Consider the following 16054-nt stretch of genomic DNA (forward strand, 5'->3'; position numbering starts at 1 on the left):
GCGAAAGTACAAAAATATGTTGCATGGGTGCAAGAGGCAGCACAGCAGCGAAGGGGCTATCTGCAAAGCCACAGGGGCTGGAGAAAAGTTTTATAGGGTCGTGCTAGACTAGGGGCCTACTTGTGGAACGAGGTATTTAATGAAAGGATGTTGGGCCAGTGGGTTTGTGATTAGCCATTTCTTGGAACAATTGTTCTCCCCGACTTGGGCCCTCTTACTTGTTGTTGCTTACTTATCAGGATGCCACAGTAAGGAAACTGAAGTCCACCAAAATTTAGAAACTTGTCCAAAGTCATAAAAAATAGAGTTGGAATTTGAACCCAGGACTGTCCAGAGTTTATGCTTTGAGAAGAGTTCACCAGTACCATGACAGAAGTTCCAAGGTGAAACAAAGCCACATGGGTTTTTGAAACCTGGAACATTTCAGGCCTTAAAACCCTGATGATTGTGAGTTGGCTGTTGCCAAAGTCAGCATGTTACAGACAGCAAGAACATGGAGGTAATTTATTGCCTGTTTGTTTCAAAGAAATGGCCCTTCCTTCTTGGAGGACCATGGGTCCTGCCTCTAAGACAGAAGACAAGAGGGATGCTACATAGGGCCTGCTACCTGGGATGTAGCAATAGGTCTCATCTTACATCTCCTAATCGCAAGCCGGAGCACCAGAACCATTAACGGGAGAGTACATTACCCCACAGGGCTGTTTGTTATTTAGCAGGACACTCAATTAAGCCCAAGTTACAGCAGTTTCTGCTAAAACTGTTTGTGCAGCATGAGTGGAAGAAGAATTTATTTGGAGCAGGAGTCTGCCTTCTGTTGTGAAAAGTGACAGCCTCTGGCAGAGAGAGAGGCAATGCTGTTGAGTTGGTTGAAATCAGGGCTTCTGGAATCTGCATGCCGGGCCTCACCCGGTGCTTGATTTTCCAGCTGTGTGACCTTGGGCAAGTCACTTCATCTCTCAAAGCGCATTTATGAAGTGGTGATAAGAACCATACTCATTTGTTTGGGGCTCCCAAGACCACCCCAGATTCAGCGATTTGCCAGGAGGATTCACAGGACTCAGTATATGATCATACTCATGGCTGTGATTAATTACAGCAAAGGGATACAAAGCAAAATCAACACAGGTAAAAGACGAATGGAATAAAGTCCAGAGGAAACCAGGTTCAGGCTTCCAAGAGTCCTCTCCCAGTTGAGCCCAAAGGATGCACTAATTCCCCTAGCAATGAGTTGTAATGTAACAACATATGTGGAAGGTTATCCACCAGGGACACTCACTAGAGACTCAGTATCCAGAATTTTTATCAGGGGCTGATCACGTAGGCACCCTCTGTTCAGCATGTACCAAAATTATAGCCTCCCAGAAGTAAGGAAAGCAGGGGTGTTCAGTGTAAGTTGTACTGTTTGCATAAACAGTTTAGGTACAGTGAGCCACTCTTGTTAGGTAGGGTGGTGCAAAGTCTCCCAAAATCCAAGTTCCCAGACTCCAGCCAAGGAAGAGCCAACCTTGCAAGGAGGTCTTTGTAAGCGTAGCAGTTGCGGTTCTGTTTTGTTACCTCTTTTCTGCCCATCATCCCATTGGGTGATTGCTGGGTGGATTAAATGAGATGATCCATACAAAGCTCTCAGCACACTTCCTAGTATGGTGAATACTTACTGAATGTTGATTACAGTTCCTTTGACATTCAGGGAATGAATTTTGATTGGTGCTTCAGCACCTTCATCTACTCGTCATCCATTTACTTACCTGTTCTTCGTTCATGGCTTTGTTCAGCACATTTTGATTGGCACCTGCTGTGGTGCAGGGGCTATGTTATCCTCTTGGGTACTTTTGAAGCATTCCTCTCTAGACAATGTGGCGTGTGGGTGTCCAATCTGGCTGGGTGTTTGAGGTGGGTGGTGGTAATGAGAAGAAAGCTTCAAGGACTTTAAGATGAATCTTAAGTGGACTCATTTTCACATTCAGTGTTAGTGGGATGAGTATGCAGTCATCTGAGAACATCTCCTGATGTCTTGCTGTTTCTTTTTCTTCCTGCAGCCAAGGCTAAGTCGAAATGTGGCCCAACCTTCTTCCCCTGTGCCAGCGGCATCCATTGCATCATTGGTCGCTTCCGGTGCAATGGGTTTGAGGACTGTCCCGATGGCAGCGATGAAGAGAACTGCAGTAAGTGCTGCGCACTTGAACACTGTGATCCCTTGTTCTTTCCCGCCAGCCAAACTTGTCCACATTGGTCACCCTCATCATGTGCTTCTTATACCTAGAGGCTCAGGCATTCTCTTCTGTTACCCAGATTCTGTTCTTCCCTACTTCTTGTGTAAATCTGTAAATGTTCAGCCACCATTTATCAGGGGCTCTACCAAGTGCACTGAGCCTGAGGCTTGCTGTATTTTCAGTTCTGACAATAGCTCTGCAAATGCAGATGTATTATCCTTAGTTAACAGATAAGAAATTTCAAGTTAGAGAAGTACATTAACTCATCCAGGGTCACATAGCTCATAAGAAGCAGAGCCATTTCTAGGTTCATTCAGACCCTCATCTGACTGATACAACACTTAATGTTTATGTGTTTGCTTACTTTTTTCTTACTTTGAATTCTTTTATTAAAAAAGTTGGCCAGGTGTGGTGGCTTGCACCTGTAATCCCAGCACTTTAGGAGGCTGAGAAGGGAGGATTGCTTGAGTCCAGGAGTTCAAGACCAGCCTAGGCAACAAGGTAAAACCCCATCTCTACAAAAAGTACAAAAGTTAAGTAGGCATGGTGGCACATGCCTCTAGTCCCAGCTACTCGGGAGGATGAGGTGGGAGGATGCTTGAGCCTGGGAGGTCAAGGCTGCAGTGAGCTGAGATGGCACCACTGCACTCCAGCCTGGGCAACAGAGTGAGACCCTGTCTCAGACAAAAAGTGTTTATATGTTAGTTGTATGCATACTATAAAAATTTATTCTTGAGAAAACAGTTCAAGTAGCATAGATGAAGTTAATGTCCTTCTTGACTGTGACCACCCTGATTTGTTTTACCTGCTGTATAATATTCCCCTGGTATCAGTGTGCATGCACACACATACTCATGTTCACTCCCTCTTTCCTTGCAGCTTAGCAGTCTTGCTGTTGGGTTTAACTACTCCTTGCCTTGGATACATGCAGATCCTTCCTTTTAGCATCCTGCTGTCCACAATGACTTTGCGTACAGCAGCCTCAGTGACCTTCAAGCCTCTCTTCTTCGCCTTTAATACTGGCCCAGCTCGCCCATCAGGTTGCTTCATACCTGCCACTGGTCACTCTGGTCACTGTTTCTTCTTCTTTCCCCATTCCTCAAAATGTTTAGACTACTTGAGCATTCATAATTATCATTGGCTCTGAACAAACTTACACGTTTATTTTCTGTGCATATATATATAAAAGACTTTATGTTTTAGAGGGGTTTGAGGTTCACAGCAAAACTGAGAGGAAGGTACAGAGATTTTCCAAATCCTCTGCCCCAACACATACACAGCTTCTCCCATTATCAATATCCTCGGCCAGTGTGATACAATCGTTACGATCAAACCTGTGTTAACACATCAAGTCCATAATTTACATTAGGGTTCACTCTGGTGTTGAACATTCTATGGATCTTGATAAGTATATCATGACACATAGCCACCATTATAGTATCATACGGAATAGTTTCACTGCCCTAAACATTTTCTGTGCTTGTCCTATTCATCCCTTTTTGTACCCCCACCACATATTTTAATAAATATTTTTCTTCTCATTATTGTAAAGAACTTGGAAAATATAAACAAGTATAAAGAAGAAAGCAAAACTGCCCATATCCCGTAAGTTAGAATGAGACACTATTCATATTTATCCCATTGTTGGAGATACTAGATTGCTGGAGAATTAGATGAAATAATAACCGAAAAGTAGTCAGTATAATGGCTGGCACAGAGTAATTGATTTTTTAAAATAGTGGTTTAAAACAAAACTGTAAGAGAAGACCATAGTTACTAGGATTTTGCCTTTGATTTTGGACTTACAATATACTTCTTTTGTATTTTAGTTAATCCTTTAGTAAGTGAGTATCAGCTTGATCTCTGCTTCCTGCTGTCCATGGGGATCTTATAATCTAAGGGAGAAATTACACACACACACACACACACACACACACACACACACACACACACACCCCAGAATAATCCAATGGCAATAAAATGCAAGTATGACGCATTATAGTATAAGCATTCTAAATGATTATGTCATCCTATATATTCCCTGCCATAATTAAAGACCTTGTATGATTTAAATGTTTGGACATTTGTCTTTAATTTTCTCTTTTTTTTTGAGACAAGGTCTTGCTCTGTCACCCAGGCTGGAGTGCAGTGGTGCCATCACAGCTCACTCCAGCCTCAACCTCCTGGGCTCAGCTAATCCTTCTACCTCAGCCTTGTGAGTAGCTGGGATCACAGGAGTGTGCCACCACACCCTCCTAATTTAAAAGCAATTTTTTTTTGTAGAGATGACATTTTACCCTGTTGCCCAAGCTGGTCTCGAACTCCTGGGCTCAAACAATCCTCCCGCCTTGGGTTCCCAAAGTGCTGGGATTATAGGCATGAGCCACCATGCCTGGTCTGGTCTTTAATTTTCTAAATGAGTAAATTATACCCATTCCAAACTATGCCAATGAGGATTAAGCCAGCATCTTCCTCTGACATAGCTACCATTTAAAAATAGTGGTTCTGAAGCCGGGCGAGGTGGGGCACCCGTCTTAACCCTAGCTACTCCAGAGTGTGAGGTGGGAGGATTACTTAACCCCAGGAGTTCAAGGTCAGCCTGGGTAACATAGCAAGACCCCATCCCTATAAAAATAAATAAGTAAATACAATTTTTTTTAATTAGAAAAAATAGTGATTCTAGCTCACTATGTTGGAAAGTGGTAAATAAAAGTATGAGTCAAACTATTTATCCCCTCGTTCCTATGTGAATTATACTTCAGAGTAATCAAATAGCTGACTTTAAAAGGTTATTTTTTATTGAAGAATACCAGCTAATAGAAGAATAAAGAAATTAGAGTATCTTCATTTTGTAACTCCTAATGAAAAATGGGTCTAGGTAATGATCATCAATGACTGCTTAAAACCATTAGGTAAAAAATTGATGGGGCCTTCATAATGGAGAGATCAGGCTGAAAACTCCTGAATCTACCAGTCAGTCTTCTCACAGCTTTGAATCAGTGTGGATTCACTTCAAGTAGAATGTATTAATAGAAACCTTGCCACTCTCTAGGTCGCTTTAGAGTATAGTTGTCTTATATAATACATCTGTGTACGTTAGCCACCCCACAAGACCGTGTTTTAATTTTTGCTTTAAATATTCAAACATATTTTGAAGAGTTCCAAAGGTATTGTATTTACCCAGATATTCACCATTTGATCACTCTTTCCTTCATTCATGATATTGCCAAGTCTTCTTCTAGTATCATTTTCCTCCTCTGTGAAGAAATTCCTTTAGCAATTCTTCTGAAGTTGGCAACAAATTATGTTAGCTTGCCTTCATCTGAGAATGTCTTTATTTCACCTTCATTCCTAAAGGATATTTTTACTGCATATAGAATTCTGAGCTGACAGTTCTTTTCTATAAGCACTTTAAGTATGCCACTTCTATCTGGCTTTTACGATTTCTGGAGAGAAATTTACAGTCGTTCAAGTTGTTTCCCCGTAGATTATATATCATTTTTCTTTAGCTGCTTTGAACTGTTTTTTTTTTTTTGTCTTTAGTTTTCATCAGTTAGATCATAGCGTGTCTGGGTATAATTTCTTTGAGTTTATCCTGTTAGGGTTCTCTGAGCTATTTGAATCTGTAGGTTTTTGTCTTTTGCTATACATGTTCAGCTATTATTTCTTCAGATATTTTAAAAGTATTATACGTTTTCTCCTTTCTTTATGGGAGTCTAATGACAACAATGTTAGATCTGTTTTTATAGTCCCACAAGTCCCTGAGGCTCTGTGAGTTTTTATTTTTTTATATTTTGGGGGGTAGGTCAGGGTTTCACTCCATCACCCAGGCTAGAGTGCAGTGGTGCGATCATGGCTCACTGCAGCCTCAACTTCCTGAGCTCCAGTGATCCTCCCTCCTCAGCCTCCTGAGTAGCTGGGACCACAGGCATGCACCACCATGCCTGGCTAATTTTTTTTTTATTGTATTTTTTGTAGAGGTGGGTTTTGATATGTTGCCCAGGTTGGTCTCAAACTCCTGAGCTCAAGTGATCCGCCCGCCTCAGCCTCCCAAAGTGCTGGGATTATAAGCATGAGCCACCACACCAGAGCTCTGTTCATTTTTAATCACTCCTTTTTCTTTTTATTGTTCATATTGGACAATTTCTGTTAATCTGTCATCAAGCTCACTTACTCTTTCATCTGTCATCTCCAGTCTGCTTTCAAGCCTATATAGTGTTTTGTTTTGTTTAGTTGTTTAAATTTCAGTTACTGTATCTTTCTGTTCTAAAATTTCTTTTTGGTTTTCTTTATATCTTTCTTTGCTGAGACTTTCTGTTTTTCCATTTGTTTTGAGAGTGTGTGTGATTGCTTACTCGAGCATTTATGTAATAGCTGCTATAAAATCTTCATCATATAACTTCAACATCTGTGTCATCTTGGCATTTGTCTGTTGATTGTCTTAACCCAAATGAATTGAGATTTTCTTGGTTCTTAATATGACAAGAAATTTTGGATTATATTCTGGATATTTTGATTATTATGTGTGACACTCTGGGTCTTATTTGAAGCCTAGCGGGAGTGCTTATATATGTGTTTTTGTAGGTAAATGACCTGCGCAGGTCAGGCCACAGTTTTCTACCAGCCCTCTGTGGGCTATGGTTACAATCGTTTTCACGCTGTTTTTGCAATGCTATTTGGATGTATCCTGCCTATGGCCCTACCAGTAGTTTGTGAGTTCAGTCTTTGATGTGCTGATTAGGACCAGGTCCATGTGCATGCAGCTTGAGGGGATCATCCTAGGAGTTTGTAAACAGTTTTATGGGTTAGCTTTTCTGAGCTCCTTTCTCTTCTTAGTGTCTCTGGTTCTTTCCAGTTCCCTGGGGCTCCAAAAGGGAGAAAATACGGTAAACTCGCCACCATTTTGGTGATAGTTTAAATTTTGGTCTTATTCTCCATTTGGCCTGCTCCAAATTACCCTTCACAGCTACTGCATGCATTCTCTTCAGGTTTTTTAAGTGATATTCAGTGGGAAAGCCAGAGTGAGGTGTGATGACTGCATCTGACCTGGAGCAGGAACTTCTATAAGCCAGTTTCAGCAGCACAAAAAGACAGTCGTCTGATGCAGTGCAAAGGAATACGCATCACCATTATGAGATTGTTCTGCCAAAATCATCCCACCTGAATCTGATTGAGCCTCTAAATCTAACCATTAGTTTACTGGAAATTCAGGGACAGGGGAATATGTTAATGACCCCACAGGGAGGCAAACTTTTAGATACAGAATGTGGGAAATTCTTTAAGACCCAGTTTCATTCATAAATAAACTCTAAGAAAAAAAAACAGAGGAAAAGGGAACTTACAGATTAAGAGAGTAAAAGACAAATTAACTAAATGTGATGTGTGGACCATATTTGAATGCTGATCATACAAATCAACTATTAAAAAAATTGAGATAGAGAAATTTAAATCATGGTTTGATACTTGATATTAAGGCATTATTATTTATTTTTAATTGTAAGAATGATATTGTGTCTATTTTTTAAAGTCCTTATCTTTTAGAAATATAGTGAAGTATATAAAGAGATTATGTGCTATCTGGGATGCACTTCAAGCCAATTCCATCAGGGATTGAAACAAAATGTTCAGTGAGTTGATAATTGTTAAACCCATGGAGTTCAATAAACCAGGCTGTATTTTTGTATATGTCTGAAATCTTCCATAATGAAATGGTGAGAAGAAATAAATAAAAGTTAAAGAAGTGGTTCTGTTTGGTGATGTCTTGACTTTAACAAAAATAACTAGAGAGTTATATTTTTAAAGAACTTTGGTTTGCAGACATGTGTTTTCCAGGTTTAGCATTCATTTTGCACTCAGGAGTGAGGATAAGCAAAAACCCAGTATATATAATTTTTTTTTTTCCCAAATAGGGTCTCACTCTCATTTTCTAGGCTGGAGTGCAGTAGTACGAACACAGCTCACTGCAGCCTTGACTTCCCAGGCTCAGGTGATTCTTCTACCTCAGCTGCCCAAGAGTAGCTGGGACTTCAGGCGCACACTACCACACCAGGCTAAATTTTTTGTCGTATTTTTAGTAGTGTCGGAGTTTAACCCTGTTACCCAGGCTAGTGTCAAACTCCTAGCCTCAAGAAATCCACCCTGCTTGGCCTCCCAAAGTGCTGGGATTACAGGCATGAGCCACTGCACCCAGCCAAATTTAAAAAAAAAAGGTAGAGATGGGGTTTTGCCATGTTGCCCAGACTGGTCTTGAACTCCTGAGCTCAAGCCAACTGCTTGCCTTGACCTCCCAAAGTACTGGAATTACAGGTGTGAGCCACCCCACCCAGCCCCCCAAAACCAGTATTTTCTTTTAGAGCTTCACAATGCTGAGATTTTGCCCTTTGACTTTTTTTCCTTTCTGCTTTTTGCTGTTTGGCCTCTTTCTTCCGCTGTCCTCATACGTTCTTGGCTGGAGGTGAAACCCTGGGTTGGCTGGCAGCACGGCTCTCACCCCAGTCCTCATTCAGTAAGGATGAGGACTCCAGCCAAGAACTGAAACGGCAGGGTTTCTGGGGGACCACGATAGAAAATTGATTCAAGCTGAAGATCTTCTGCTACAGCTTTTAGTGTAGTTGTGCCCAGAAAAACCACTGTGTCCTGGACTGTATCTCTCCACTGATGACAAATTCTTGCCTGAATTCTGAGTACCACTGAATCATTTAGCTAGTATGTCTGTGTTTTTGTGCACAGAGCTCCACACTGCTGGCATATTTCTGTAGCTCTATTCATGTCAATCCAGATGAGAGTCCCCATTTCCTCTTCACCTCTCAGCCAATTCATCAGTTGTAGCCTCAGAAAGCTGTGTCTTTTATTGGGTGGACTAGCCGAGCTAAAAGTGTCAACAGGAGAATTTTTCCTCCCAGTACTCCAAAGCTGCATCGTCAAGGTCTCCTTAAAGACTCTCACATGACTGGTTTCCTTTGGAAATCTTTCTGGTTTGCCAAGGCTGGGCTGGGTCATCCTCCTGTGTGTTCTCAGACCATACAGGACTTTCTTCAAACAAATGTCAACTCATCAGAGAGGCCTTCCATGACCACTCTATGAAAAATGACCCCTCTCCTCCCCAGTCTCACACTCTGTTTCTGTCCCCTGCTTCATCCTTCCCCACACTTACTGTCTTCCCTACTACATTGTGACAGCCATGAGGTGGTATTATAGTGTGGCTCACAGCTATATTTCCAGCGCCATGTATATTATCAGGCTCAGCCTTAGCAAGCGACAAACATATACTGAATAAATGGTACTTCTCATGCTTTCTCGTAATGGCATATTGACTTGCCTGTATAGTATACAAACTTTCAGGGCAAGTGAACTGCTTGGCTGACAGTTACTGAGCACTTACCTTGTGTATGGCCTGTTTCTACATGCTTTACGTGGATGATCTCATTTTAGGTAGATAGTATTATTACCTCCTTTTTATAGATAAGGGAACAGAGACATAGAAAGGATAAATAACTTGCCCATACTCACACACTTAGTAAGTGGCATAGTTGAGGTATCAACCTAGGCGGTATAAATACAGAGCCTGAACTTTTAACTATTATATGAATGTGTATTCCCAATACATTTTTTTTTTTTTTTGAGATGGAGTCTCGCTCTGTCTCCAGGCTGGAGTGCAGTGGCACGATCTCGGCTAACTGCAACCTCCGCCTCCCGGGTTCAAGCAATTTTCCTGTCTCAGACTCCCAAGTAGCTGGGATTACAGGCGTGTGCCACAAAGCCCAGCTAATTTTTGCCCAATACATATGTTTTAGAGACAGGGTCTTACTCTGTTGCCCAGGCTAAAGTGCAGTGGTGCAATCATAGCTCATTGTACCTTAGACACCTGGGTTCAATTGATACTCCCATCTCAGCCTCTTAAGTAGCTAGAAATACAGGTGCATGCCACCTTGCCTGGCTAATTTTTAAACTTTTTTTTTTTTTTTTTGTAGAGAAGGGGTCTTGCTATGCTGCCTTGAATGGTCTCAAACTCCTAGCCCCGAGCTATCCTCCCACTTCAGCAACCTGAAGTGCTGGGACTACAGGCTTGAGCCATCATACCTGGCTAATAATTATTATAATAAACATTTATTGAGCACCTGCTATGGCCCACATGCTATTTTCCATGCTTTGCTCATTTAATTTTTATAAAAGCTTATGACAGAGACATTATTTTTGTCCTCACTTTATAGATGAGGACATTGAGGCTTAGAGAAGTTGAATAATTTTTCCAACATCATATAGCTAGTGAAGTGGTAGGCTGAAATTTGAGCCCAGGTGGACTTCACACTTTCACTTCTAACCACTACAGCAAAATGTATGCTTGGAATTGTCAGCTGGGGCAGATCATAAGAAGTTGAGAATATAAAAGATTATATTTTATACTCAGTGAGAAGCAGTTGATAATGAGCAGATGCAGGATGAGGAGAGGAAGAAGATCACATGATGGGAGACTGGGGAACTGGGAAATGGTGGCCCTTTCATAGCAGTAGGACCACAGGAAGAGGGAGAGGCTAGGAGCAGAAGGGAGAATGTCAGTTTCAGACATGCAGAGTTTGAGGTGAGAGGGTGTTCAGGCAGAGGAACCCATGAGGCAGTAGGAGAAAGATGTTTATTTCTGGGGGAAGGTTTAGGGAGCTATCCACAGAAAGGTGGTGGTTGAAGCAGTGATACTGGACTTGTTCCCCGGAAAAGGCAGGGTTGGGTGTTGGACAGGAGATAACCATGTCCAGGAAGCCTTTACCGACAAGGAAGAAACAGACTACCATTAGCAATGACTGAGTTCTGCCAGTGGCCCCTTGCACTGACTCTAGAGGGGTTTTGAAAATTAAAATCCTCGAGTCCTTAGAGCCTGAGGAAAAGGGAAGCAAGACTGAAGTATTTTTGCCTCTTGCCTGCTTGCCCAGAGTGGCGGCCCTTTCCTCTCCTACAGACACAGAAGAAGTTCCATGTGCAGAATGCGGCTGTACATAGGCTACGTTCTGTCTTCGAGGGGGAAAGGCTGCTGAGGCTGGGGGACCTGGTAGCCTTGGGGCTGGGAGAGGCCCAGAGGACCTGTTGAGCAGACTTAGGAAGGAGGAACTGACAGGTGTCAATAGGCAAGCCAAGGTCAAGGCAGCGAGCATTTTCCAAGTCACAAAGGGTGCAGGGCTTGTTGTCGGGATGATTTGCAGGGAGACTCCTTCAGTGGGCTCTGGTTTCCTGGGGCCAGGCGCCCTCTATCCTCTAGAAGAGAAGTCTCAGTGCAGCCCCCTCTCCCTCAGTTGCCTGGTTTCCAGGGAAATTGGGGCTGGGAAGACAAGGACTGTGTGGAGGCTATGAGGTTGGGAAGTGAGTGGTGACCACCTCAGGATGGAGAAGCCGATGGGAATTGTGGGGGCTAATGACAAGGAGTTTCTCATTTATGTGTTTTTGTCAAGACCCTTTGAGGTAGGAGAGGAGCCGACTTCACAGACTTTAAATGAATTAAAGAGTACATTTCCTAAGTCCTACTGTAGACGGATTGCTTCATTTCCTGTCTTGAAGCAGGTCAGTTGCTTTTGGGAGACCGCAGTGGTCCCTCGGTCTTATCTTTTAGATGTGGTTGAAGTAAACCCTGCCAGTTTAATTAACCACTAAGCGGTTCCCTTCACTCCTGCCTCCCTCCCTCCCTCCCTCTGCCAGAGAGAGAGACAAGTTCTTTTTCCTGAGTGTTGTGGCTTGGGAAATAGAGCTTTAGAACCCTGTGTTTTTTTGGGTAATAATAACCAAGGAGCTTTTGAGCCTATGGTTCAGTTTTTGAAGTTAACTCTGCAGACAATTTTTTCCACCCCTAGTGAAATAAATATTGTAAAATAGAATGTTCCTCTCCCCAGTTAACTGAGTAACATAATACATTTCTCAGTGACTGGTAAGCCACAACGAGGACAAAGAAAACAAACATTTGGAGCACGTTAAATATGGCTAAAAGATAGTGAAACATAACATCCCAGAGGATGAAATGTTTCCTGGTCTGTTTATGATCTGTTCATTGAGCATTTACTATTTCCAGGGTCCTGGACCAGGCCCCATGGGACCACAGAAACCCCTAAGACTTGTCTACCATAGTCCCAAATGCAATCATTCTGAAATCTGGCTGAGCCAAGTAAATAGCTGCAGAGGGTCTGGAAGAAATGTAGTGAAATCTGAGCTGTCTGGGGTCTTTGGAGAGATCTGCCACTCTGGTTAAGTACGTCTGCTTAATAACTGAATATTTATGCCTTTCAACACCAGCAACAGGAATCTATCTGAGACGTATCGAATCTTGGCTTTGTCAGCATGTACCTTTTTTGGTAGTAGCACAGGGTCATTCTTAGGAACATTAATTTTTAGACCAGGCTATAATACAGGGTTGCCTTTGGCTCCTTTTTAGAACCTTCTAGTCTCTTTTTGAACTATTCTAGGCTGTTGTGCTTTTGGAATTCTTTTTAAAATATTTTTATCTTTATTTTTTAAATTTATGCATATATATGGGGTACAGGAGAAATTTTGTTACATACACATAATGCATGATGTGATCAAGTCAGGGTATTCAGCTGTCCATTACTCAAGTGCAGTACATTTTTGTTAAGTGTATTCACCCTACTCTGGTTTCCTTTTATCTCACTCTATGTTTGTATCCTTTAACCCACTTCTCTTCATCTCTTTATCTTCCTCCCTTCCCCCTGCTCACCCTTCCCAGTCTCTGTTATCTATTTTTCCACTCTCTACCACCGTGTGATCAAATTTTTAGCTTTTGGAATTCTTGAGGTTGCTTTTTAGAGCGTTTCTGTCCCCTTCTCTGGCTGTCAGCTTTTATTTCTTGCTGCCAGTTTGTCTGCAAGGCAGTAAGTGGCATCCCCCTCCCTTTTTATTTGCTTTGTCCTTGGGAGCTGGAATACAGAACTTGTTGGAATTTACGTAAATGGAGAAGCCATAGACCCTGAGAGAGCTGATGGCCTGAGGCCTTTTCCTTGAGGAAGCTCCTGGCACTTTCAAGGCATGAACATTGTGATGTATATTTTGATGGTTGGGAGGCATTTTTCTGTGGCTTGCTGCTACGTTTGGGCTGTGTTCCTCTACCATCCTCTGCTTCTGTTTTTTCTGCCCTGCAAAGGATGGGGGAGATTACACTGTGTTTTATGAGGAGTCATTGACAAGGTGGAATGCTAGGTGTGGTTGTATACAAGGATATAGCTATGTCTCCTGAGCAACTATGCCCCTGAGTGTGAAAGATACTAAATATTAAGAGGTGTTTGTGGACCAGGGAGAGCTTTATGATGGGAGAGTAAAAGGGAAGGGAAGTGAGTGCTCACTGAAACATTTCTGCTAGACTAGACGTTCAAAAATGTTTAGCAAAGTTTCTCAAACATACTGAAAAGGAAAAGTAAAGTAAAATGAACACCTGCATTCCCAACATCCAGTTTCAAAAATGTATCATTGTGTTGCTGTATTTGCTTCAGAATTTTAAAATAATAAAATATTACCAAATATAATTAGAAATCTCAGCCATACGTCTTTGGGATCTTCTCTTTTCTCCAGAGGCATCCATTGCTCTGGACTTGGGGTTGTTTATTCCCATTAAGGTTTTTTTTTTCTTTCTGTATATATCTTTTTAATCCTGCTATGATAAGTAGCATTCTCTTGCATGGGGTAACTTCATATTAACGTAATATAGTACAGTACATAGCCTACTACTGACACAGGATTTTTCTGGGCCACTTTGCCAGTCAGGTACCTCCACAGGCAGTGACGCTCCCTGCCCCGCCCAGGCCTTACTGCACCCCAGGTCTGCTGCTGGAGGCACCCTGCCCATTCAGCCCACCTGTGTTATAGGTTGTACCCACGTTCAGTGGTTCCTGAGCTCTTGTCCCATGTCCAAGAAGAATGAGATATGCTGACAATTTGAAGGGTGAATGGGGGTAGAGAAGAATTTTATTGAGTGATAGAACAGCTCTCAGTGGAGAGGGGATGCAGGGGTGGTTTTCTCTCCCAGTGTGTCTGGGTCCAGGGCTTTTTATGGACTCAGAATGGGGAGTCCATGCTGATTGGTTTGTGACTGTGCAAAAAAGGTTAAAGTTGAAGACACCACTCAAAGGTGGGCGTGACAATGTAGAAAACCAATTAGGAAAGGGTAGGTATATGTAAAATAGGTGATGGTGGGGATCCATCAGAGGAGAGTGCACCAAATAAGAAGACAGTTTCTCAATCCAGTCTGTGGATTTGACTTGTAGCTTGGCTTTCAGGCTTTAAACTGTCTTTGGCTTGGAGGTGGGGTTTCACCGGGGACTCGCCCCTGTCTGCCCAGGCATTTGTCTGCTTCCTGGCACCATCACTGCTTGCTTTCCTCCCTCACTATTGTATTTGTGGGATTTATCCATCTTGACACCAGTTCATTGATTTTTCACTACAACACAGCATCAGTTGATGCACTATGGCCCTGTTTTGCCTAGCACCAGTTTTTGTACATAAAATTGTATGCATACATAGTATGCCTTTCATTTACAAATTGTCTGTGGCTGCTTTGTGACACAATGGCAAGGTTGAGTCATTACAACAGAGACAAAAGACCAAACAGCTACCAAAACCTACAATATTTACTATCCGGCCCTTGATAGGAACAGTTAGCCAGCCCTGGCATTGTAACAGTATAACACATGGTATCCATTCTTTATAAGTAAACATTTGAGCCTTTTCTTTTCTTTTCTTTTTTGAGACGGGGTCTCGCTCTGTCACCCCGGCTGGAGTGCAGTGGCACGGACTCGGCTCATTTCAACTTCTGCCTCTCAGGCTCAAGTGATACTCCTGCCTCAGCCTCCCAAGTAGCTGGGATTACAGGCATGCGCCACTACCACCCAGCTAATTTTTGTATTTTTAGTAGAGGCAGGGTTTCACCATGTTGGCCAGGCTGGTCTTGACCTCCTGACCTCAAATGATCCACCCACCTCAGCCTCCCAAAGTGCTGGGATTACAGGTGTGAGTCACCATGTCTGGCCCATTTTAGTCATTTCTGATTTTTTAATTTTGCAAATAATGGCTTCAGTAAACATTTTTGTTTCTTCAAGAGTCTTGCAGTGGCTCACACTTGTAATTACAACACTTTGGGAGGCTGAGGTGGGAGGATTGCTTGAGGCCAGGATTTGAGACCACGCTGAGCTTCATAGCAAGACCCCTGTCTCTACAAAACATTAAATAATTAGCTAGGCGTGGTGGTATATGCCTGTAGTCCTGGCTACTCAGGAGGCTGAGGTGGGAGGATTGCTTGAGCCCAGGAGTTGAAGGCTATGGTGAGGTATGATTACACCACTGCACTGCAGTCGGTGACTGAGACCCTGTTTCTTAAAAAGGAAGAAAAAAGAGTCTCTCTAGAGAAGAGTATATAGCTGGAAGTGAAATTCCTGGGCCATGCCATGTGCACCATAGGCTTTACTATTCCTAAATGGGCCTCCTAGGTGGACGTACCAATTTGCACCCCCACTTGTAACTTATGAGACTTCCTCTCCCTCCACATTCTTGCCAATGACCTGGTACTTTAAGACCTTGAGTGTGGCACGTCATCACCAGTGACAGTATACATTATTTCACGGTTTTACTGACCATTTGCTGTTCCTCTTATGTCAATTGCCTGATTACATCCTTGGCCCTTTTTTTCTATTGAGTTATCTTTTCTTTTTGATTTTTGAGAGTTCTTTATATATTCTTGCTACTAGTCTTTTGGGTTATATGCATTAAAACCAATCTGTGACTTGCTTTTTAAACATACATACACTTACTTGTAGACATACACACACATAAACACGTATGTGGCGTTTTTCCTTGGAAAGTTTGAG

The 16054-nt window shown here is 42.4% G+C and overlaps 1 protein-coding gene across 3 annotated transcripts in view, besides 2 other annotated features; it reads left to right on the forward strand.

Annotated features, from left to right (window-relative positions):
- LDLRAD3 (low density lipoprotein receptor class A domain containing 3) overlaps positions 1–16054 on the forward strand; it is a 288075-nt gene that overhangs the window by 135555 nt on the left and 136466 nt on the right. For all 3 annotated transcript variants that reach the window (NM_174902.4, NM_001304264.2, NM_001304263.2), the window contains one exon: positions 2037–2162. In NM_174902.4, coding sequence (NP_777562.1) covers positions 2037–2162 — 126 coding nt within the window. The remainder of the gene's footprint in view (positions 1–2036; positions 2163–16054) is intronic.
- Positions 10771–11298: an enhancer, noted in NCBI's record as "H3K27ac-H3K4me1 hESC enhancer chr11:36111937-36112464 (GRCh37/hg19 assembly coordinates)". NCBI's record gives its function as "activates a minimal SCP1, AML or CMV promoter by ChIP-STARR-seq in naive H9 embryonic stem cells {active_cell/tissue: H9 hESC(naive)}" and the evidence as "EXISTENCE:reporter gene assay evidence [ECO:0000049][PMID:30033119]".
- Positions 11299–11825: an enhancer, noted in NCBI's record as "H3K27ac-H3K4me1 hESC enhancer chr11:36112465-36112991 (GRCh37/hg19 assembly coordinates)". NCBI's record gives its function as "activates a minimal SCP1, AML or CMV promoter by ChIP-STARR-seq in naive H9 embryonic stem cells {active_cell/tissue: H9 hESC(naive)}" and the evidence as "EXISTENCE:reporter gene assay evidence [ECO:0000049][PMID:30033119]".

The sequence above is a fragment of the Homo sapiens genome, chromosome 11 (assembly GCF_000001405.40).
Source record: "Homo sapiens chromosome 11, GRCh38.p14 Primary Assembly".
Classification (NCBI taxonomy): Eukaryota; Metazoa; Chordata; class Mammalia; order Primates; family Hominidae; genus Homo; species Homo sapiens.